The sequence below is a fragment of the Homo sapiens genome, chromosome 19 (assembly GCF_000001405.40).
Source record: "Homo sapiens chromosome 19, GRCh38.p14 Primary Assembly".
In the NCBI taxonomy this organism is placed as follows: domain Eukaryota; kingdom Metazoa; phylum Chordata; class Mammalia; order Primates; family Hominidae; genus Homo; species Homo sapiens.
In genome coordinates this window covers 56595007-56619174 of record NC_000019.10, presented here as the reverse complement: position 1 = coordinate 56619174, position 24168 = coordinate 56595007, and the positions used below count along the sequence as shown (strand labels likewise).

Below are 24168 nucleotides of genomic sequence, written 5' to 3'. Positions count from 1 at the left end.
TTTTATGTTCTCTATATATTTTTCACAGTTTTAAATATAAAATTTAAAAAATTGTTTTAGAGAGACTTAGCAGACATCCTGACTTGCCCTTTCCCTCCCACCGTCCTGACTGCTGGCAAGCATTGCTGTGCGCAAACAGCCTGAATCAGACCAAATCTCCCGGTCCCCACTGACAAAAAGCCGGCTGGCCACCACGGGTCCTTGCCTGAAATGCGACAGCAGCTCCTCTCTGTCCTCCCCACCCCATTCTCACCCCTGCAATGCGTCCTCCACTCCTCCGGGAGTGCGGTCTTCTGAGGAGTCAGATCAACCCTCCCGTGACCTCCCTACGGTACTGAGAATGATGCCAGGACCTCCAGCAGCCTCAGGGCCCTCAGCACCCAGCAGGCCTGCCTGAGTCGTCCCCTGCCCACCCTCCCTCCCAGTTTCTCATCACCATGCTCTCCCTCTTGTCCGTGTGTTCTTCCTGCCTCAGGGCCTCTGCATCCACTGTCCTGTGGACCTGCCGTGGACGTCCTTATCCTTCAGGCCTGTTTCCCCACAACCCCACGGGAGCCTTCCCAATCCACCCTACGTAAGGAAGGAAGGTCCTCCTGCCCACTTCTTTATGAACACTCAGTGACCTGTGGCAATTTTTCTCTGCCTGTCCCTTGATCTGATTATTATCGGCCCCCAGCAGGAGTCAGCTCCACTAGAGGCAAGGGCCTTGCTCACCCCCCAGCTCCTCACACAGCCTGCACACAGAAGGTACCAGATAAGCGAGTATGGAGCACTGGCAACACGCCTGGCACAGTGCTGAACAATTTGCACGGATCTCTGGAGACCCTCACAATCATACTTGAGTTACATACAGTAGTAGATAGTTATGACCATCCTCATTTTGCTGATGAGGAAACGGAGATACAAGAATGGAGTCAGAGATGTACTCGAGGGCACAATACACCTGAGGCACAGCAGGATTCAAGCCCTGGCAGTGTGGCCCCCGAGCTGTGGCTCCTGAGGAGTGGCTATATTACCATGCATCACTTTTCCCATCTCAGAGGAAAAGAACTGAGAAATACTTCATGCAGGAGAATGATTGTGGTTTAGAGACCCTAGTCAGGGTGTGGCACAATGCCCAGATGCTGGCACAGATGGTAGTGTGGGGTGTAGACTCGGTGGAGAGAAGACTGTCTCCAGGGGTGATGGTGAATTTTGTCTGGGGCTGATGGAGTCTGAGATGCTCTGGAATATGAGCTGGCAGCTATCGGAGAGGACCAGGAGTCTTGGTTGTGAATACAGCTGGAAGTCTCCTGGAGTGAACATGACCTGGAGAAATCAGGAGAGCTGGGGGCAGCATACCAGCAGAGGGACAGAGGGGAGGAAGCCACCTCCCTTTCTCAGGCTAAAACCCTGCAGTAGAGATCATCTGCAAACAGCAAACACTCAGCCCTTAACCACGACAGCTGTGAAAACACAGTTCCACACCACCCAGATTAAAACTACCCGATCACACCTTTTCTCTAGTCAGGTCAGCAAAAGAGCAGGAAGTCTGACGGCATGGCCACTGTCATGGGAGACATCCGAAGCTTCTGCAGAGGGCACTTTCGCCAAAAGCCGTTAATGTGCAAAACGCTATTCATTCCTTTTGATACAAATGTAGGTGCATTCTTTTTTCACATTGCTAAATCTCGTCCTTCACACTTTTTCAGTTTTCTGTCTTTCTATGCTTGTTTCTGATTAGAAAGTAATTCACACTTGTTTTTAAAACATCAAACACCAAAACAGTAATGGAGAAAATGGAAGTCTCTGTAATCTCAGCATATTGGGAGGCTGAATCAGGCAGATCACTTGGTCAGGAGTTTGAGACCAGCCTGGCCAACATGGTGAAACCCTATGTCTACTAAAAATACAAGAATTAGCTGGGTGTGGTGGCAGGCACCTGTAATCCTAGCTACTTAGGAGGCTGAGGCAGGAGAATCGCTTTAACCAGGGAGGCGGAGGTTGCAGTGAGCTCTGATCATGCCACTGCACTCCAGCTTGGGCAACAGAGCAAGACTGTCTCAAAAAAAACAAAAAAAAACAAAAGAAAATGGAAGTCTCCTGTAATCTTACTCACCAGAGTTAACAGTTTGGTTTATATTTTAGACTCCCCTCCAACGCCTGTACATGCACACACACATTTTTCCCCCAAATGGGGCTTTTGTCCAAGACAGAGTATAAAGGATAAGATTCCCTTGAGCCTAAAACAAAATATATAAAACAATGGTTGTGAAGACATTGAATATCAGGCAATGAAGGGCAAAATCCCTGAGAGAAGAAAATCAAACAAGGTGGGTCCTACAACTGCCCCAGCTAACTGCCTGGGAAGTTTCCAGGCTCTGACAAAGGAAAGGTAAATTGAGGTACAGTCTGGCCAACTCCCCAAGTTGAGGAGACAGAGCTGAGAGACCAAGGCAGATAGAGTTCCCAGGACAGATGAGAGAGGAATGAGCTGCACAGTGTTCTGAAGACCTGCAAGGAACTCCCTCCAGTATTTAGCAGACTATTGGTCAAAACGTGCATGTCAGGAAACTACCCAACACAGGAAAAAAACATCTGAAAGGATTTGAAAACAGTGACCGGAGCTGACACAGGGCTGGGAACAGTGCCTTTTCCTACCAATCAGACTGTAAAACCTTGTCATTCATGGGGCTTTGGGCAGAAAACCCAGAATGATCTTGAGGAGAATGTCATTCTAGACTGGGCACAAGTCATAAAAGCAAGATCTGAAAGGATGACATTGCTTGGTATTGGTGCAAAGGCACACAAACAGATGGACAGAACAGGATTCAGAATTGGACCCACACTTGTATGGACAAGTGATTTTTGATAAAAATGCAAAGGCGATTGGAGAAAGTGGTCTTTTCAACAAATGGTGTTGGACAACTGGACATACATTTGTCCCCCCAACATACCCCAATAAACTTGGATTAATACTTTACATCATATTAAGAATTCAACTCTAAATGGATCAAAGAACAAAATGTAAAACCTAAAACTATATAACTTACAGAAGAAAACCTCTGAGGCCTTGGGATAGGCCAAGATTTCTTACAAATGACACCAAAACCAAAAAAAATTGATAAACTGGACTTCATTGAATTAAAAACTTCTGCTCTTCAACAAATTGCACTGGGGCACCTGGATATTCACATGCAAAGGAATGATGTTGAGCCCCGTTCTTACATCACTCACAAAAATTAATTCAAAATGGATCAAAGACCTCAGTGAAGAGCTAAACCACTAAAACCTTAGAATAAAACACAGGAATAAATCTTCATGGCTTTGAGTTAGATTGTTTAGATATACCACCAAAAATACAGGCAACGAGAACAACAAAAAATAGATACATCGCACTACATCAAAATTAAAAACTTTAGAGTCAGAAATAATGCCATCAAGAAAGTGAAAACACAATCCACAGAATGGGAGGTAATATTTGCACGGCATATATCTAAAGAAAATCTTGTATCAAGAATACATAGTGGTCTGGCTCTGTGACGCAATGGATAGCGCATTGGACTTCTAGATAGTTAAAGAATACATAGTGAACTTTCAAAATTCAATAATAACCCAACAGAAAAAAAAAAAAAAACAGGAAAAGACTTGAACAGATACTTTACCAAAGAGAATATACAAACATCAAATAAGCGCAGGAAAAGATTATCAGTATCAAATGAAAAGCGCAGTGATGAGACCACACACCTACAAGTGTCAGTATCAAATGAAAAGCACAGTGATGAGACCACACACCTACAAGGGAGGCTAAATTTAAAAGATAAAGCAATTAGAATGAAGCTTGTGCGCTGCTGGTGGAAATGTGAAATAGTACAATCACTTTGGAAAACAGGTTGGCAGTTTCTTAAACAAGTTAAATATACATGTAGCACATGATCCAGACTTTCCACTCAACAGAAGGAAAAGCAAATGTCTACACAAAGAACTGTTCACAAATGTTCACAGCAGCTTTATTTGTAATAGCCCAGAACTGGAAATGACCCAAATGTTGATCACCAGGCGAATGGCTGAACAAATTGTGGCATACACATACAGTGGAATAATACACAGAGATAAAAATAAATGAACTATGAGACATGCAATGACATGGGTGAATCTCAAAATAATGCCAAGTCAAACCAAAAAAAGCCAGACCAAAAAAAAAAGGGTACATACTGTATGATTCCATGTATATAAAACTGGAGAGCAGGTAAACTCAACCACAGTGACATAAAGCAGACCAGGGGATCCCTGGGGATGGGGGTTGAGGAAGGGGAGAGAGGGGTAATAAAGGAGGATGAGGAATCTCTTGGGGATGATAGATATGTCCTTTATCTTGATCATGGTGATGGTTTCCTGGGTATGCACTATGTCAAAATGCATCAAACTCTTCACTTTATATATGCGTGGTTAATTACAGGTCAATAATACCTCCAGAAAAGCTGTTAAAGAAATAGGACCACGCTCTGATTACAAAAGTGAGTGTTTTAACCTAACAGTATGTTGTGGGACATCTTTTCATGGCAGTGCCTACAAACAGTCCTCAGCTTTGAAGAGCTGCCTGGTTTCCAACATATCGATAGGCCTTGATACGTTCAGTCAGTCTTAGACAGCTGGGCATTTAGGTCGTTTTCCTTGATTTTTCTTCCCATGGAAAACTTTGCATACTTACATGAGAATTTCTAAAGGACAGATCTCTAAAAATGGAATCCTTCAATATTTGACTGATAAGGCCAAGCTATCCTCCAAAAGAGCTGTCCCAACTTTATACTCCTAAAATGAGAGTCCTTTCCTCTACAGCCTCATAATATGGGCTATTATTCTTTTTTCATCTTTGTGCACTTCATGGGCAAAAACTGCTAGTACCTCAATTTGTGTGTCTCCAGTAGTAAGGTTTAAAAAACTTTTATAAAGTGTTAACTTTGTGTATTTCTAAATCTATGAATCACCAGCTCATAAGTTTGGTCCATTCTATTATTCGCTTAGTCTTTTTCTTATTCCCAGGAGCTGCTTACATAATTATGACCCTTTGAATGTAAAACACGTGAGAAATATTATTTCCCATACCATCGTGATCAACTTTATTTTTAGCTTCAAGTAGAGCAAATTTTAAAACTTTCCATGTAGTCAGATCTGTTGATCTTTTTTTTTTTTTAATTTATTTGTGGTCCTGAAGTTATGGGCCAATGATGAGTAACTCAACGAAGCTGCCCCTTACCCAGTGAGACCAGGTTCCTGTAGTTCTCCAGCATGACATCCCTGTACAGGTCCTTCTGGGCAGGCTCCAGCTGCTGCCACTCCTCCTGGGTGAAGTCCACAGTCACATCCCTGAACGTCACTGATTCCTGTAAGAGGAAACCCACATCCGCTCATCGCAGGGCCCTCCTTACAGAGGCGTGGAGGAATGGCCAGAAAAGCCAAGAGGATTTAGGGGAGGCAGATGGGATGTAGCTGAAGTGATTTCAATAAGATGCAGAGTTCTAAAGGGATCACTCACAGTTTTCTCTGTGTCTAGTTATATTGGGTTGGCACTCTGATAGAGAAATAAATCCCATATGAAACATTCTGGAACAGAAGGTCACAGATCTGAGAACCAGATGGAAAGGAACTGAAGGCAAAGTGAGTCTAACCCAGTGAATCAACAAATGCATTAGGAGCACAGCAGAGGCAGAGCCCCAGATGGAATCCAGGGGCACAGCTAACTTTTCTGAGCCCCTACTAAGCACCAGGCAGCAAGCCCAGTGCTGGGATACAGACACAAAATGTTCAAGAACTAGTTCCTCATGGCAGAGGCAGACAAAGACACGTAATTTGGTAAACGCAATCAATCATGAAGGTATGAACAAAGGTCTCCAGGTGCCTGAGTAATGCCAGCTGTGGGGGGTGCCCAGGAAGACTTTGAGTAGTCTGTGAAGAGAACTGGTGGTTGGGTCTTTAGTGGGAGATTCTGGGTAGGGAAGAGAGCTTGGATCAAGACCCGAAGGTGAAAAGGCAGATGAGACTGCTGGGGAGTGGAGAGAAGTCCACGTGGAAGGAGCAGCACTTTGTGGTAGATGTCACAAGCCTGTGGACTGAAAGAACCTGGCGGAGCAGTGTGGATGGTGATGATGAGGTAGGCAACACCAGTCATTATGCAGCAGCTGCTATGTGCCAGGTACTACTCTAAGTGGTTGGTATGGGTTGAATTATGAGCCCCTCCAATTCATATGCTGATGTCCCAACCTTCAAGGTCTCAAGAACATGACCTTATTTGGAAACAGGGCTGCTGCAGATGAAATCAGTTAAAATGAGGTCATCCTGGAGTGGGGGTAGGGGGCCCTAATCCAACAGGACTGGTGTCCTTATAGAAAAGGGAAATTTGTTTTTCAATTTTTAAAATCTCAATAGCTTTAGGGGTACAGGTAATTTTTGGTTACAGGGATGAAATGTACAGTGGTAAAGTCTGGGATTTTAGTGCACCCATCACCTGAATAGTGTACATTGTACCCAATATGTAGTTTTTCACCCCTCACCCCCCTGCCACCTTGCCCGCTTCTGAGTTTCCAAAGTCTATTATAACACTCAGTATGCCTCTGTATATCCATCGCTTAGCTCCCACTCATAAGTGAGAACACACAGCATTTGGTTTTCCATTCCTGAGTTACTTAACTTATGATAATGGCCTCTAGTTCCATCTAAGTTGCTGTAAAAGACATTATTTCATTATTTTTTATGGCTGAGTAGTATTCCATGGTATGTGTGTGTATGTATGTGTGTATGTGTATAAATGTGATATACATATATATTATATGTGTGTGTATCACATTTTCTTTATCTATGGGTTGATGGGCACTTTCCTTATTCATTGGTTGATGGGCACTTAGGTTGACTGCATATATTTGCAATTGTGAATCGTGCTGCAATAAACATACACGTGCAGGTGTCTTTTTGATATAAATACTTATTTTCCTTTGCGTTGACACCAAGTAGTGAGATTGCTGGATCAAATGGGAGATCTACTTTTAGTTCTTTGAGAAACCTCAATACTGTTTTCCAAAGAAGTTGTACTAATTTATATTCCCAGCAGCAGTGTATAAGCATTCCCTTTTCACCACATCCACGCCAATCTATTGTTTTTTGACTTTTTAATAATGGCCATCCTGGCTGGGGTAAGGTGGTGTTGTGGTTTTAATTTGCATTTCAGAAAGGAAAAACATGGACAGAGAGAGACATGTACACAGGGACAAGGCTGTGTGAAGAATGGAGTTATGCTGCCACAAGTCAGGGAACTTGCCAGCAGGTGGGAGACAGGCCTGGAACAGAGCCTTCCCTTGAGCCTTCAGAGGGAGCGTGGTCCTGTGGATACTTTGATCAGGGACTTCCAGCCTCCAGAACTGTGACAGAATAAATGTCCTTTGTTTAAGCTGCACAGTCTGTGGTACTTATTTACAGCAGCCTTGAGAAATAGATACCGTGCTGGCACATATTGATTCAGTCATTATTAACTTAAAACAGACCTACGAGTCAGGTGCTAACATTATAATATAGTATGCCTGTTTAAAAGTGATTAAGTGATTGTCTTTCATCCCCAAAAGCCCCCCTTCCACACTCTGCACAGAGATCTGCGGGCTTTGACTCTGCGATCCCGTGATGTTTCTGCCTTAGCAGCTACTCCCTGTGAAGCTCTGTCAATAGGGGGCACTGGAGGGAGGCTGGAAGGTAGAGATAAAAGAAACCAAGGCACAGACAGGGTAGGTTCCTGGACCAAAGCACACAGCTACTGCGTGGGACAGCCAGGCTTTGAACCTCATGGGCTGTCTCCAGAGCCCGAGTCCTCATCCTTGCAGGCTGCTGCCTCTCACGAACCACCCAGAGCGGCAGGTAATGAAAACTTGTGGTGCCCATACATGTAGTCCTGACTCTGACCTCTGACCCCCACACTGTCCCCACAACTGCTCTGCCCCTTGTGCTCTGCTCCAGCCCTGCCAGCCTGCCTTCTCTCCTCGAATATCCCCCAGGGAACTTGCACTAGCCGTTTCTTCTGCCCAAAATGCTCTTCCTTCAGGTCTGGCCTAAGCTGGCTCCTTCTTATTCATTCTTTGGAAGGTCTGAGCAGGAGAGGGACAGAATCTAATTTAGAATTTTACAGGTGCACTCTGTATTTGCACACCCATGTTCCTAACAGCACTATTCACAATAGACAAAAGGTGGAAGCAACAAGTGTACACTAACAGACAAAAAGAAGAAGAAAATGTGGTCTCTATATACAATGAAATCTCATTCAGACTTAATAAGGAAAGAAATTCTGACACATGCTACAACATGGGTGAACCTTGAGGACATTCTGCTCCATGAAATATGCCAGTCACAAAAGGACAAATACTGCAACAACATTCCTCTCTAAAGGAAATACTCTCTCCAACTCAAATACTGAAACATTCCTCTCTGACACTCCTGATAGGAGAACAGACTGGGACAATGTCTATGGAGTGGCATTTAGCAAAATCTATCAAAACTAATATTCAAATTCTTTTGAACACTTTAGACTAATTCAGATATATTAATACACATGCAAAAACATAGATGTGTAAGGATATTTATTACAGTATCAGATGAAGAAGTAAAAAGACTGAACACATCCCAAATGGCCATCAGTAGGGGTTTGGATAAATCAGGTCAGTGAATCCACCACAGTGGAATACACACAGCCATAACAAAAAAAAAGGGGGCAGCCCCTTAGCTGCAGGTGCAGAATGATCTCCCGAATATACTGTTACATGAAAAAACAGATCAATGCCCAGAACAGTGTGTCTAGTTTGTTAACATTTCCATAAGAGGAAATAATAAAGGGAAATTTACACATATGTGCTTATACAGGCGCAGACCTCTTTATGGAAGTGAATGCAAGAAACTGGTAAGAATGCACAGCTGGTGGGGATGTAAAATGGTTCAGCTGCTTTGGAAGACAGTCTGGCATTTCCTCAAGTGAATAAACACAGAGTTACCTTATGACCTAGCACTTCCATTCTTGGTAGATATCTAAGAAAAATGAAAACAGAGTGCCACACAAAAACTATACACTGATGCTCATAGCAATGTTACTCGCAATAGTCCCAAAGTGGAAACGACTCAAATGTCCATCTCCTGACGAATGGATAAACAATGTGGTTCGTCCACACGACAGCTCTGACACACGCTGCAACATGAAGGAACCTGGAAAACATGACACCAAGTGAAAGATGCCGGACACAGAAGACCATATCGTATGCCTCATTTGTACACAATGTCCGGAATAGGCAAAATCCATATCGTATGCCTCATTTATGTACAATGTCCAGAACAGGCAAAATCCATACCGTATGCCTCATTTATGTACAATGTCCGGAACAGGCAAAATCCATATCGTATGCCTCATTTATATGCAACGTCCGGGACAGGCAAAATCCATATCGTATGCCTCATTTATGTACAATGTCCAGAACAGGCAAAATCCATATCGTATGGCTCATTTATGTACAATGTCCAGAACAGGCAAAATCCATATCGTATGCCTCATTTATGGACAATGTCCGGAACAGGCAAAATCTGTATCGTATGCCTCATTTATACACAATGTCCGGGACAGGCAAAATCCATATCGTATGCCTCATTTATATACAATGTCCGGAATAGGCAAAATAGAATGAAGGTAGATGTGTGGTTGCCTAGGGGTGAGGGTGGGTTGGAGAGAAATGGGGAGTGACTGCCAATGGGTATGGGGTTTCTTTTTGGAGTGGTAAAAATTTTCTAAAATATTGTGGTGATGGTTGCATAACTGTAAATAAACTAAAAAGCACTGGATATTAATGTGTCTACTTTATATGGATGGATTTTACGATACGTGAATTATACCTCAATAAAGCTCTTAACCAAAATAGAATCTGGTAAGAGCAGGTGATGCCAGTAGTTTCAGGATGGGGAGGGGAAGTGGGAGAATTCATTTTCCCAGTTTACTAATTTTCAAATAGGTGCGTTTTACCTATTGTTTCTTCAATTAAAAGGTTAATATTACACATTTTATGTGTTTAAAATGTTCAGACATTTTACTTCTGGAAATCTATCCCAACAAGATAATCCAAAAATTGGGCAAAGCTTCATGCACAAAGATGTCCACTCCATTTTATTTATATGGGCAAGTCTTTGGACAACCATAACATCCATGTCATGGGATTCATTAAATAATAGCCTACCCCCATGGCCAATTACATAGCTATTTTCATTACAAGATTATGCAGAGCTTTTCCATGTAGAGTTGCTTCTGGGTTTCCAGAATTCTAAATAACCATTTTATCTCAACCACATGAAAACAATACACAGGAAAAAGATGGAAGGAAATGTGTCAAAATGTGAACAGCAGCTGTATCAGAGGAGTGACACTGTGAATATTTTCATGTTTTATGTGTATGTGTGTGTGTGTGTGTTGGCAGCCTCCAAGACAGCCCCGAATGATCCCCAGTTCCTGGTATCCACAGCCTTATGTAGCCCCTTCACTGTGCCAGGGTGATTCTGTGTGATCAACAACATACAGCAGAGGTTAGTGTGGTGTCACTTCCAAGGAAAGGTTATATGCACACTCACTATTCACAATCGCCAAAAGGTGGAAGCAACCCAAGTGTACGTAAGCACGAGTGGATAAGCAAAATGCAGTCTATGCATACAATGGGATATTATTCCGCCTTTAAAAAAAAAAAATTCTGACACATGCTACAAGGGTGAACCTTGGGGACATTATGCTCAGCGAAATAAGCCAGACACAGAAGTAAAACTACTGCACGATTCCATGATTTAAATGAAGTATCAAGTCAAATTTATAGAGACTTGTGGAATGGCAGCTGCCAGGGGCGGAGGGGAGGGGGATGGAAAGTGTTTGTTTAATGGCTGCAGAGTTTCAGTTTTACAAGATCAAAGAGTTCTGGAGATGGATGGTGGTGGCGCTGCACATTAGGAATGCATTTAATGCCACTCAACTGCACACTTAAAAATGGTTAAGATGGCAAATTTTATGTTATGTGTATTTTAGCACAATAAGAAATTTAGGGGGAAAAAAAAAGACAAAAAGGTTATAAAGATCATAGCTTTGGTCCTGGGCACACTCCCTCTTTTTCCCTTGGATTACTCACTTTGGAGGAAGCCAGCTGCCCTGCAGAGTCCTTTGGAGAGGCCCATCTGACCAGCAGCTGAAGCCTCCCACCAATGTCAGTAAGGAGTTAAGGCATCCCACCACCAACCACTGTGTGAGGCTCTCAGAAGGGATTCTGCAGCCTGGGAAGCCCTGAGAAGACTGAAGATCTTGAGCCACAGCCATGCCACTGCCCCATTCCTGACCCTCAGAAACTGTGTAAAATAGTAAATAATTGTTGCTTTAAGCAACTGAGTTTGGGGGTAACTTGTTACACAGCCACAAGTAATACAGGGGGGTGAGTGTTTTTGTTTGTTTGTTTGTTTTTTGAAAGACAGTGCAGTGTCTTAAGGGCATGTCTGGGAAGTACAAAGACCTGTTATCAAACCCTGGCTTGGCCATTTTCTAGCTATGTGAATGTATGAAAGTGAACATCTTCAATTACCTAACCTCTGCAGGCTTCAGTTTCTTCCTCTGTTAAAAGGGGATAACAGCATCTACGTCATGGGGGGTTGTGAAGTTGTGTCTGCCTGGGCCACCACAGAATCCTCAGACCCTAGAACAGCGCCTGGCACTTAGTAGGTACTCAATAAATGTTTGTACAACAAATGACTGAATCCTTAAATTTCTTACATGGTACCTTGAACAGGCCCAAGAAAGCAATCGTATGTGATAGGAAGACACATAAAAAGCTACCTGCTTTGAGTATTTGCCCAAAATGAGCATACAACTCTCATACTCTCAATTATCATACTCAGGGCTGTGAATCAGAAATGCCCAGTCCTGCTGCCCAAGCAAGGAAAATGCAGGTACCTTTCCAAGAACCATCAATGAACATATTTAGAATATATCAGAATACGTATTAGATACCATTGATCTAGAATTCCTGTTTAGGGGGTAAAAATTCAACCATGCTTTTCTGGTAGCCCAGAAAATTGTAAATTAAAACACCAGTTAAATTTCTGATACAGTTATATTTTGCTGGATCAAATTACCCATTTTCACTGTCTCTTTCAATATAAGTCAGCTTTGGTAGACAATAGTAAGTGGGTAGACTTGTTGAAAATGGCCTCAAATCCTTCACTAGTGGAGTCTAGTTCCCCCATCCTTGAATGTGGGCTGGCCTTAGGGACCTGCTTGACCAATAGAATCTGGCAGAGGTAATGTTCTGGGACTCTCAGGCTAGATCACAGAAGACTTCCAGCTCCTGCCTCAGCCTCCTGGAACACTTGCTCTGGGAGAAGCCAGTCATCACAACAGGTGTCTCATTATGTCTCATTACTCACATGCCATGCTGTGAGGAAGCCCAAGCAGCCACAAGGAAAATCCATGTGGAAAAAAAAAAGATGCCCACCAAGGCCTCAGCGGTGCCATCCATACCACAGCAAGAGACAGACATGTGAGCAAAGAAGCCAGCAGACTACTCTAGCCCAGCTGCCATCCAACAGCCACCACACAAGAGATGCCAGGCACGAACTGCCCAGCTGAGCCCATCAACCCCAAAATAGTAATAAATTGTAGTTTTTGAGCCATTAAGTTCTGAGATGGTTACTACCCAGCAAAATATAACTGGATCGGAAATTTAACTGATTAATTTATAATTTTCCGGGCTACCAGAAAAGTATGGTTGAATTTTTACCCCCTAAACAGGAATTCTAGATCAATGGTATCTAATACATATTCTAACATATTCTAAATATGTTCATTGATGGTTCCTGGAAACACACAGAGTGATACTTCACCCTTTCATGTATTCATTTGACGAATATTTATTAAGTGCCTGCCATGCACCAGGCACTGGGCATACAACTGTGAATAAGACAGACATGGTATTGGCACCAGGTTTCTTCCATACTAATTCATTAGTAAATAATGATAAAAATAACTAATGTTCATTAAGCACATACTACATGCCAGGTATTGTTCTAAGCCCACTGCACACACCATCTCACTTAATCTTCAAAAGAACCCTACTATGTAGGCACTTTTATGAGCTCATTTCTTTTACAAAGGGGGAGACTGAGGCACAAGAGGTCACACAGATGGGAGTGGCAGCATTTTAAACCTAGTCAGTTCAACTCTCAGCCCCAACATTAGATGGCCTCATCCATGTATAATACCAATCTAGCTGGCATCACAGCCAAGGAGCAGTTTAGTTTGGATCAGACCCTGAGATGGATGGCACGTCTTTTGCCTATAAAGAAGACAGTTGGATAAATATCACAGAGTGTCCCAGCTGGCGCTTCTCTTCCAGACAGATCACAAGCGATCCTGAAGCCACTTCCAGAGATGGTGCTTGACAGTCGACCTCCTCCCTAGTGTGATGAAGGCCTGCACGTCTCACATTATTGCTGGCTGATCACATCATCCATGCATGACTCTGCCACATGAAGATCTTGAGCCATGGCCACAGATTAAATTTCTGATCCAGTTATATTTTGCTGGGTAGCAGCCATCTCAGAACTTAATGGCTCAAAAACAACAATTTATTACTATTTTGGGGTTGATGGGCTCAGCTGGGCAGTTCGTGCCTGGCATCTCTTGTGTGGTGGCAGTTGGATGGCAGCTGGGCTAGAGTAGTCTGCTAGCTTCTTTGTTTACAAGTCTGTCTCTTGAGCTGGTATGGATGGCACAGCTGAGGCCTTGGTGGGCATCTCTTTTTCTCCACATCACTTTTCCTTGTGGCTGCTTGGGCTTCCTCACAGCATGGCATGTGAGTAATGAGAGACCTATTGTGTCCTACAGAGGGACCTGCTGTTCTGAACTGATTCAGTGGTACAACCCCCAAGGCACAAGGAAAGAACGGGAGTTCTGAGCACACAGAGCATATGAGATGTACCTGGGCCTGAAGCCAGCTGTACACATTTCTATTTTGCTCCTATGGGGGTTTCAAAATTGTTTTTAATTGTTACTCACATGAAAAACACATCCACAATTTACCAAGAAAATGAATTTCTAGTTTCTCTTTAAACAGCAGAATATCTGGCCACTCTAGGCTGGAGCTGAGTGGTGGCTGACCCTTTGATGGGGCAAGAAAGCTCCAATTTGCTACAGGCCCCACCTGCCCACTTATTTATGTAAGACACTCAGAATGGTAATGCATAGCATACAGCAGGCACTCAATAAGTGCCAGCTATTGTTACTGACACTCAGAGCTCACTGGCTCTCTCCAGCATACTGAGTGTCCCCACCACCAACTGAATCCCAAGGGGAGGCCTCACCCCCGCTGGCTAGTCCCTCTATGGTCCTAGGGTGCCCTTCTGGGGCTTGGGCTCAAGATAGCCTCCTCTGCCTGAGGGGTCACCTTTGATAGAAAGCAGTTGGGCTGGTGGTTCAGAGTGTAGGCTCAGGAACCACACTCTGCAACGGAATCCTGGCTCTGCCCCTCATGAGCTGTGTTTCCTTGGACAACTGTCTTTCTCTTTCTAAGCCTCATATGAGAGGCAGGCTTCCTGATAACAATGTCCCCCTCCACAGGGTCGTAAGGTTAAATGTGTACAAATATGGTCCAAACACAGTGCCTCGTGTGATGGAGGAAGCTCTCAGTAAATGTCGACTCTTGCTATTATTTAATGTTGATATTTAATATATATCTTATGTACAACTGTAGATCCTTATATGATATTATTTGACCTTTTGGCCCAATGTATCTTTCAGCCAGCCCAGCTAATAATTCCTCCTTTTCTAAAAATTTAAACTACTTGATTGAGGTGTGACTGATATATAAAAAGCTGTGCATATTTAATAATATACATAACTTGATGAGTTTGCAGATGCATATACACCCGTGGAACCATCACCACCATCAAGGCCATAAACGGATCCATTACCTCCAAAAGTTCCCTCTCACACCTATATTTATTTATTTTACAAAATTGTAATACAACAATTCCTTCTGGAAGTCTTCCCTAAGTACACCCACCTAATTCACTCAACTATTCACTGAGCAGTCTCCAGGCACCAAGCCCAGACTGGCACCAGGGTTGTGCTGAGACACAGAACACAGCCTTCCAGGTCTGGGAGCCCATCGTGTTGGGACAGAAGTGCTAACAAAGGGCCTCTGAGTTCTCTGCACGTACGTGTCCAAGGCCCCTTTTTCTAGTACTCCATCTTTTTCGGTTTCCTGTCTAATGACACAAACCATTTCACCACAGGGAAAACGCTGAAACCAGACAGGCTCAATTTTTTTTAAAAATTGAATGTAATTACACTAGTAGTAATTAAAAAAAAAAAAAACTTAAACCAAAACTCCCAACCCTGTTGAAATAAAAACAATCAACAAATCTTTCTAAGTAATGTAGGTAAAAGAAGAATTCAAGGCAAGAATCACAGATGAGACAAAAATGAAGGCATCATGGTGCAATCGCTTAGGAAAACAGTCTGGTGGTTCCTTTACTGGTTCAACAGAGTTAACCATATGACCCAACATTCCACTTCCAGGTACACACCTAAGAGAACTGAGAACATATGTTCAAAGACTTATACATGAATATTCATAGCAGCATTATTCATAATAGCCAAAAAGTGGAAACAACCCAAATGTCCATCAACTGATGAAAGGATAAATAAAATATGTAGAAACACACACTGGAATATTATTCAGTCAAAAAAAGGAATGAAGCTCTATATGTGCTACCACATGGTTGAACCTTGCAAATATTATGCTGAGTGAAAGAAGCCAGTCACAAAAGACCACACCATGTATGATTCCATTTATTTGAAATGTCCAGAACAGTCAAATTCATAGAGACAGAAAGCTGATTACTGGTTGCCAGGGGCCGTGGACTGATGGGGGAAAATGGAAATGAGTGCCAATGGGTACTCGGCTCTTTTTCAGGATGATGAAAATATTCTGAAATGGACTGTGGTGATGGTTAACGCGACTCTATGAATGTACCCAAAATCAGTGAATTGTACACTTTGTGATACGTGATGTGTACCTCAACAAAGGTACCAAACAAATGAAGACAGAATAAACCAAAGCTCCCAAATAAGTCTACTGACACATTTATATAGCAAAATCAATTACAGGTAGATTCAAAAGTTCATTGTTAACATTCAAATGACAAATGGTGAAAAGGAAGAAAATATAGCTGCTATGTGACCTGTGGATGGAGAAACCCTTTCACAGCTTAAAGATGAAGAAAGACACCACAGTGGGAGAAACCAACAGATTTGATTTTAAAAATATGAAATGCTTTTATACAGAAAAAATAAAGTAAAATAAAGAAACAAAAAGCAAATCTGGGAAGAATATTTGCCACAAATATTTACACACACACATTTGCTTCTGTAAAGTCTTTAAAGCATACTCAGATTCCTGTAGACTGCTAAAGCACAAGATGGATCATTTCCCTGCCCACAGAAATGGCTAGTAAACATTTTCTAAGACTTGAACTTCACTAATAATACAAACAATGCTACTCAGAAATAAATCACGTGGCACCATTTGTCCCCTATCAGGCTCATCATGGTTTATAGCATTTGTCATTTATATCCATTTATCATTTATTATCATGGTGCAATATTGCACCAATCTAAATATATCCAACATGCAGAATAAATGCCTGACAACAGCCATATAAATCATCAGAGACCCGCTCAGACATGCTGGTGGGAATACATACCGCCGTAACTGATGTGGAAATAATATCAAAATACCTCAAAAATACCCAACCCAATCTTCCTCTTCAAGGAATCACTCCTAAAGAAATCATATAAGACACAAAGAAAGATTTGTGCCCAGTGTCCCTCATGACACTGTTTATAACCAAAAAAAGAATACTTGGAAACCAATAAAGGTCCAACAACAGAGGAACCATTAAGTAAACCAGGGTATGGCCACTGAACAACACTTTTATGGGGTCATTAAGATGGACGTTACAAAGGAGTTTTTAATGATGTGGAGAAATGCTCAGGATGAAATCTCTGATGAAAAAGCAATCTTTAACATTAAAATTGCTTAGCCAGACTCAAACATTCCAGAGTGATTATCTTTTGGGGTAAAATCATGGGTGAATTTGTGGGCCTCATTCCCATAAGCTTTTGTACTTTCATCACACATGTGGGCATTCACATTCACAAGAAGCATTTAGTGTGTTTGCCCATTTTAAAGGTCACACATCCAGCATGGTCCTGCGCAAGTTTTCACTCAATGTCACATGTCTAAACCACCACTTCCCACAGGTGCCCACCTGTGTCTCCTAAGAGTCCAGAGAGCTAGTTTGGCCATTCCAAAGCTTCCCTGTCCCCTACAACTGACCCCACAGCCAGGGTCAGCATCATCTATAAGCACAGCCCTCTTCATCAGGGCAGACACAGCCCCAGAAGATGGGACTGGGGGCCTTGGAGAGGGTTCGAGCAGCAGAGGCTCACCCAAGGCAGGATCCAGCCTTTGGAAAGGAGAGTGACAGGGCAACATGACTCACCAGTGCCTCATCAGTCAGCAGCTGAGCAGCCATCCCTCTGCTGCCCACGGTGAATAGGAAGACAGGCCTGCGGTGACCAACAGTGCTGTAGGGAGAAGAAAGAGGGAGGCATGCTGAGAGACCAGGCCTAGGCTGGCCTCACAAATGTAGACAGGACAGACACACACCCACTGAGAGACAAGCAGAGACAGACAGATAGACACACATACACATACATCAACAGTGAGTATTTAGAGGGCTTACTGCATGTAGGGAACTTGAATGTATATCACTTGATCTTCCAACCATCCTGGAAGGTAGGTACTACTTCTACCTACCCATTTCACAGATGAGGAGGCTGAGGCCCGAGGAGATTAAACCACTTGCTCAAGATTACAGAGCTGGGACTGGAGTCAGGCAGAGTATGTCTGGGTCCACAGCTTAGCCTCCAGGCTACAATGCCTCACAGATGCACTCCCATGTACACTCCTATAGATATGGTTAACACACATACACTCACACACATTCCCGCAGGCTGCTGAGGGCCACCGGACACCCTGCCTTCTCCCAATGGCCCTGCCCGGATCCCTCCTTGAGTGTGAGTGCTGGACTGAGGCCCCCTGAGATGCCCCAGAACCACCTGTGGCCTCTTTGGGCACTTCCCCCAGACTTCATGGGGTTACCATGAGGTTCAACTAGCAGATATGAGTGTAAGGAACTTCCACCCAGGGGCTCTCAGAGCCAGATTCGCCTAGAGAAATGCATCTTGATTCAATTCTCCTCCAGTTCTCCTGACAAGCTCAGGATAAAGTCTCAAGTGGAGAGATATCTTAACATCCCTGCAACCCATCACTCGCCCCTTGAAACAAAAGAAAAGCAGGAGAATAAGATCCTGTGATTTGCAACAACATGGATAAAACTGGAGGTCATTATGTTAAGTGAAATAAGCCAGGCATAGAAAGACAAACTTTGCAAGTTCTCACTTGTGTGAGCTAAAAATTAAAACAAACTCATGGAGATAGAGACTAGAATGATGAAGAAACCTGAGGCTGGGAAGGGTAGTGGAAGGGTGGGGGGAATGTGGGGATGGCTAATTGGTATTAAAAAAATACAGAGGGCCGGGCGCGGTGGCTCACGCCTGTAATCCCAGCACTTTGGGAGGCCGAGGCGGGTGGATCATGAGGTCAGGAGATCGAGACCATCCTGGCTAACAAGGTGAAACCCCGTCTCTACTAAAAATACAAAAAATTAGCCGGGCGCGGTGGCGGGCGCCTGTAGTCCCAGCTACTCGGGAGGCTGAGGCAGGAGAATGGCGTGAACCCGGGAAGCGGAGCTTGCAGTGAGCCGAGATTGCGCCACTGCAGTCCGCAGTCCGACCTGGGCGACAGAGCGAGACTCCGTCTCAAAAAAAAAAAAAAAAAAAAAAATACAGAGGGTTGCAGTGAGCCAAGATTGCACCACTGCACTCCAGCCTGGCAACAGAGCGAGACTCCATCTCAAAAAAAAAAAAAAAAAACAAACCCCAAAAAAACAAAAAAACACACACACAAAGAATGAATAAGACCTACTATTTGACAGCACAACAGGGTGACTATGATCAATAATAATTTAATGATACATTTAAAAATAACTGGCCGGGCGCAGTGGCTCATGCCTGTAATCCCAGCACTTTGGGAGGCCGAGGCGGGCGGATCACGAGGTCAGGAGATCAAGACCACGGTGAAACCCCGTCTCTACCAAAAATACAAAAAATTAGCCGGGTGTGGTGGCAGGTGCCTGTAATCCCAGCTACTCGGGAGGCTGAGGAAGGAGAATGGCATGAACCCAGGAGGCGGAGCTTGCAGTGAGCTGAGATGGCAACACTGCACTCCAGCCTGGGTGACAGAGCGAGACTCCATCTCAAAAAAAAAAAAAAACAAAACACTAAAAATGTAATCAGATTGTTTGTAACACAAAGGATAAATCCTTGAGGTGACAGATACCCCATTTATCCTGATGTGATTATTACACATTGTATGCCCGTATCAAAATATCTCATGTACTCCATAAATATATAAACCCACTACACACCCAGAAAAATTAAAAATTAAAATTAAAAAGAAAAGCAGGGTTCAGGCCCCAAAGTTAGGGTGACCATAATATCTCATTAGAACTACCTGGCTTTACTTCAATTTGTTTTAAAGTTTGTTTCCCTTCTTACAGCAAAACTCAGCTTCTTTTACAGCAGTCACACAGAATACCCTTTTAAACTAAGTTGATTTAAATTAAAAACAAAAAAAAAATCAGTGAGCCAAATCAAGTAAATGGCAAAGTAAAAAAATAGGATCCATGACACAGATGAGGACAAATTCTTGGAGTCTGAGACATGCTGGCTCAGTCCTGGCTTCTCCCGTGATGGGGGCTCACTACCCGTGCCACCAACACCTCTGACTGGAAATGAGTTTTTCTTCTGCTATAAACAGAAACATGCCTCTCTACATCTCCAACCCTTCAAGATCACCCAGAAAAGCCTCAATCCTCTCCAACACAATGCTCTTGTAGCTGGTGCACCAATTCTCAAAGTACCAGAATCACTGGGGATGCTTATTAAAATCTCACTCAGAATATATATTCCTGCCCCCCACCTCAGATCCTCTGAATCAAACTACCTGGGTAGGGCCCCTGAATCGGTATTTCTAAGCAAGTTTCCCAGGTGATTCTGACACGTCTTAAAGCGTAAGAACCACTAAGACAAAGAAGAGCCTTTCTTAGGCCAAATGGCCCCAACTTCCACAAGTGAAAAGTAATTTTAATTGTAGGGGGGCATATATATAAGGCCAAGTTGGCAGAAGCCTTTGGAACTCAATCGGGAACAATTCTGCCCCCGGAGACATTTGTCAACGTCTAGAGACATTTGCCAAACTGTCATAATTTGGCAGGGGAGTGCTATGGGCGTTTAGTTGGTAGAGACTGGGGATGCTGCTACACACTGTACGATGCACGCGACAGGCCCCACAACAAAGAATGATCAGGCCCAAAGGTCAGTAGTGTGGAGGTTGAGAAGCCCTGTTGTAGAACAAAAGGATCACAAAGGTGTGGGCTGGGGGTTCCTACCACTTAATGCCTGTACCCGGGCACCACACCTGGCCAACTGTAATCACTCAGTGAAAATGTCCTCTGGGCTAAAACTCTTCAAAACTCTTCGTTGGCTTCCCCCACCATTAGAAATCACTCAAAGTCTTCACTGCTGCCCACATAGCCCTTATGATGTGCCCCTGATGGCCTCTCCCCTTCCATCTCCTCTACTCCCCTCTCCCATGCTTGGCCCCAGGCCTCCTGGCCTCTGCATCTGCTGTTCCCTCTGGAGGGAATGCTCTTCCCATGACTACCCCTGCTTCCTGGTCAGCTCCAACGTCACCTCCTTGGAGAAGTCCTCTACCCCCAATCACCTGACCTCAAGCAGCAACTCTCTCCCCCTCTATTTTCTTGCAGTACAAACCACTATTGACAACTGTCTTTTTTAAAATAGTTGTTTTCAAGTTTGTCATCTGTCTTCCCTCCATGAGAACAGAAGCCCCCAGGGAGCAGGGATGATCACTTTCAGATTGTATTTCCGACATCTAGGACAACGTCTAACACACAGGAGGCACTTAGACATCAAGCTGAATGAACAGATGAGCTAACTTCTAGTGCTGGCCAGGATTGAAAGGAACAGGCCCTCTCACACACTGGTGAGGGAATGTGAGTCGCTCAACATTTTTCTGGAAAGTGAGCTGGCAATACACAAATCCCATAACCCAGCAACCCTGTTCCTGGGAATCTGCCCACACCAATAAAAGCTCCGTGTAAAAGTTACATATAGGAAAAAAAGATATTTATGGCAGCATTGTTTCTAGAGGCAAAAAAAAACCCTGAAAACAAAATTAATAAACATTACTAAAGGAATCAAATCGAGGGTAGGGTCTCCATAGTATGAAGTATCAGGTCGCCTCTGCGAAGCAGAGTTAGTTCTGCATCTGTTGACATGTCTGTGGTTTCACTAAGTGAGAAAAGCAAGTTACCCAGTTTTATGCATACCTTTAGCCCCTTTGTGAAAAAACAAACCAAAACATGTGGATGTGGACACATCTGTACAGCATCTTCCAGCCTGGGGAAGGCTGTGGAATGAGGCTGGGTTGGTGTCTGGAGGGCATGGAGTGGGAATGAGAAGGGGGTAGAAGTTATTAATTATTTTTTCTTTCTCTTCCTTTGAATTGTTTCCCTGGGTGTAGAAACTTCATATTACCATCAACATTTTTGAAACACAATTTAATATAAAAAAAAATTCCTTGCAGATAGTGGTCTCTTTCACCCCTGTCCTGTGAGGTCAAGAACACTGGCCCATTTTGCCAGATCACAGCAGTGACCAGAGCCCACTTACCCAGTAGGCACAGAGCATGGGGCCCATGAAACCTTTAGGGGCCCATAGGAAGGTCTTAATTTCTTTTAAAATCATAAGAAAATATCTAATCCAGCCTAGATTACATTTGTCTTCCTATTAATGAAATAACAAAATGTAATTTTTAGTGCTTTAAAAAAACAATGGAGCAAGGGGCCCATGAAGGCAAAGTACCCTTAAAAATCATGCAGCGGCCCTGGAAGTGACTTGCCCAAGAGTATGGCCAGTGGCTGTTGAACCCAGTTTGGCCTTAGATCTGGATTCTTCTTCCTCTGAGCTTTTTGGCATTTCCTTCCTTTCTTCCATTTCCATTGTTTCCAAGCGGGGATTCCCTCGGGGAAAATCCTGCAACCTTGTGTCAGCTGAGCGGAAAGGGAAAAAAGGGATCTCCCATTTGTCTGGTGGTTAATTGTGGGGGCTCTGGAACCTGGATGCCTGAGGTAGCCTTGGGTGAGTCACTTAGTCTGAGACTCAGTTTCCCCATCTGTAAGATAAGGATGATGATGGTCTCTACCTCAGAGTTACTGGGACATCTATAAATGGCCAGCACTGGCTGCATACACATTCCCTGAACAAATCAACCTCTCCTTGGTCAGAACAGAGTAGGGCACAGAGACCCTTTGGGAGTCTGATCCCACTTTAAGAAGATCCTGTGGGAGGCAGAAGAAACAGCCTTCCTTTTCCCCTCCTCCACCCGGCCCCTGTCACTCCCAGGCCCCTACGCCTCCAGAGCCTTCTATGGGCAGGAAAAAGCCAGGGAACTGTGGGCAGGCAGACTAGGAGAAGCGTAGGGTGAGAAGGTAGTGGCTCTGCTAGGCTCCCTTGTCCAGGCATATAGTCTTTGGAAGAGGCACACCCAGACGCACCCACCCCTGCAGAGTCACACGCAAACATCAAGAAATACTCTAGACACAGGTGGACACACAGAGATAGGAAAGATCCAGACAGGACTGGCCCCTGGAAAGACACAGCCCTACACTCATGCCAAGAGACATGCATGGAAAGAGCAGACATAGTGGACACCCAGAGGGCACCCTCCCACAGAGACACTCATGGACAGAGATCAAGGCTGACACACCCACAACACCAAAGACAAGGACACAGGCAGTCACTCAGAGATATCACCACACATGCATAGGCAGAGACCTGGAGAGACACAGCTCCACAGAGAGACCAAGACTCTGAAGAAGTGGGACACACACACACACACGCTACCACACATGACCCACACGGACATACATGGACACATTCACATTCATTCACAGACCCAGCCTCTGGACGACACGCAGTTTCTCTCTCTGTCTCATACACACACACACACACACACACACACACACACACAAACACACACACACAATCACAATATCCAGAGACACAGCCATACCCTCAGGACGACACAATCTGTCTCACACACACATACAGACCCACACAGACACACACACAGACACATTCACAATATCCACAAAGACACAGCCTCATCCTCAGGATGATATGCACTGCCTGTCTCTCACACAGGCCACCTTCCCCCCAGGATGGCCCTCGTGTTCATGCAACTTTCCTACCTCCAACCCACTCACGCCTCTCCCTCCCTGGCCCCGGCCTCTCCTCAGCCCCTCAGCCTCCAGTCAGCCTCTCCTTAGCCCCTCAGCTTCCCCTCAGCCTCTCCTCGGCCGCTCAGCCTCTCCAGGCGCACCTCGGTCCCGGCCTGCACGCCCTCTCCTGCGCCCGCACGCCCTGGACCAGCACCCAGCCCTGCACTCCCCGTACCTGGGCCTGCACGCCGTCTCCCCGAGGCCGCGCCCTCCCCGGGGCCAGGTTCCGGCCCCCGGCACAGGTAGAGGGTGGGCGCGACCCCGCAGCCACACTCACCGGCTCGCCGCTCTGCCAGGACAATGACCGCGCCCGCTAGGCCCGCCCGACGGCAGTGCGCCTGCGCGGACTGCGCCGGACTACGCTTCCCAGAAACCCGCGCGCGCCACCTCCCCCCGGCTTTTTTCAGCCGAGCCCAGCCGAGTGGAGCCGAGCGGAGCCAACTGAGCTCCTCCATCTCACAGAGGACTCCGCGGCCAAGGAGGCTGGGGCGAGAGGGAGGATTGAGGGGGAGGAGGCAGGGAAAGGGAAGGAGAGAGAAGAGACGGAGGGAGGAAGGGTGGAAAGAAAGACGGAGGGAAAGGAGGGGCGAGGAGGAG

At 44.6% G+C, this 24168-nt stretch overlaps 1 protein-coding gene and 1 long non-coding RNA gene across 5 annotated transcripts in view, besides 2 other annotated features; both read right to left on the bottom strand.

The window, feature by feature from the left end:
* Positions 1–23873, bottom strand: part of ZNF71-SMIM17 (ZNF71-SMIM17 readthrough (NMD candidate)) — a 61946-nt gene extending 38073 nt beyond the window's left edge. Inside the window, exons 1-3 of one of the 2 annotated variants that reach the window (NR_163262.1) lie at positions 23747–23873; positions 17584–17668; positions 5237–5363 (exon numbers count right to left, since the gene is read on the bottom strand). This is a non-coding gene — a long non-coding RNA (ZNF71-SMIM17 readthrough (NMD candidate)). The remainder of the gene's footprint in view (positions 1–5236; positions 5364–17583; positions 17669–23746) is intronic. The other variant, NR_163263.1, reaches the window with a different exon arrangement.
* The window catches only part of ZNF71 (zinc finger protein 71), a 29185-nt gene extending 5312 nt beyond the window's left edge, over positions 1–23873 (bottom strand). Inside the window, exons 1-3 of one of the 3 annotated variants that reach the window (NM_001370215.1) lie at positions 23747–23873; positions 17584–17668; positions 5237–5363 (exon numbers count right to left, since the gene is read on the bottom strand). In NM_001370215.1, coding sequence (NP_001357144.1) covers positions 5237–5363; positions 17584–17616 — 160 coding nt within the window. In that variant the 5' untranslated portion in view covers positions 17617–17668; positions 23747–23873. The remainder of the gene's footprint in view (positions 1–5236; positions 5364–17583; positions 17669–23746) is intronic. The other 2 variants (NM_021216.5, NM_001370214.1) reach the window with 2 other exon arrangements.
* Positions 1959–2177: a silencer, noted in NCBI's record as "fragment chr19:57128366-57128584 (GRCh37/hg19 assembly coordinates)". NCBI's record gives its function as "represses an EF-1alpha promoter that drives an FKBP-Casp9 reporter gene in an ReSE screen in K562 erythroleukemia cells {active_cell/tissue: K562}" and the evidence as "EXISTENCE:reporter gene assay evidence [ECO:0000049][PMID:32094911]".
* Positions 23522–23911: a silencer, noted in NCBI's record as "silent region_11070". NCBI's record gives its function as "represses an Ori minimal core promoter by ATAC-STARR-seq in GM12878 lymphoblastoid cells {active_cell/tissue: GM12878}" and the evidence as "EXISTENCE:reporter gene assay evidence [ECO:0000049][PMID:35858748]".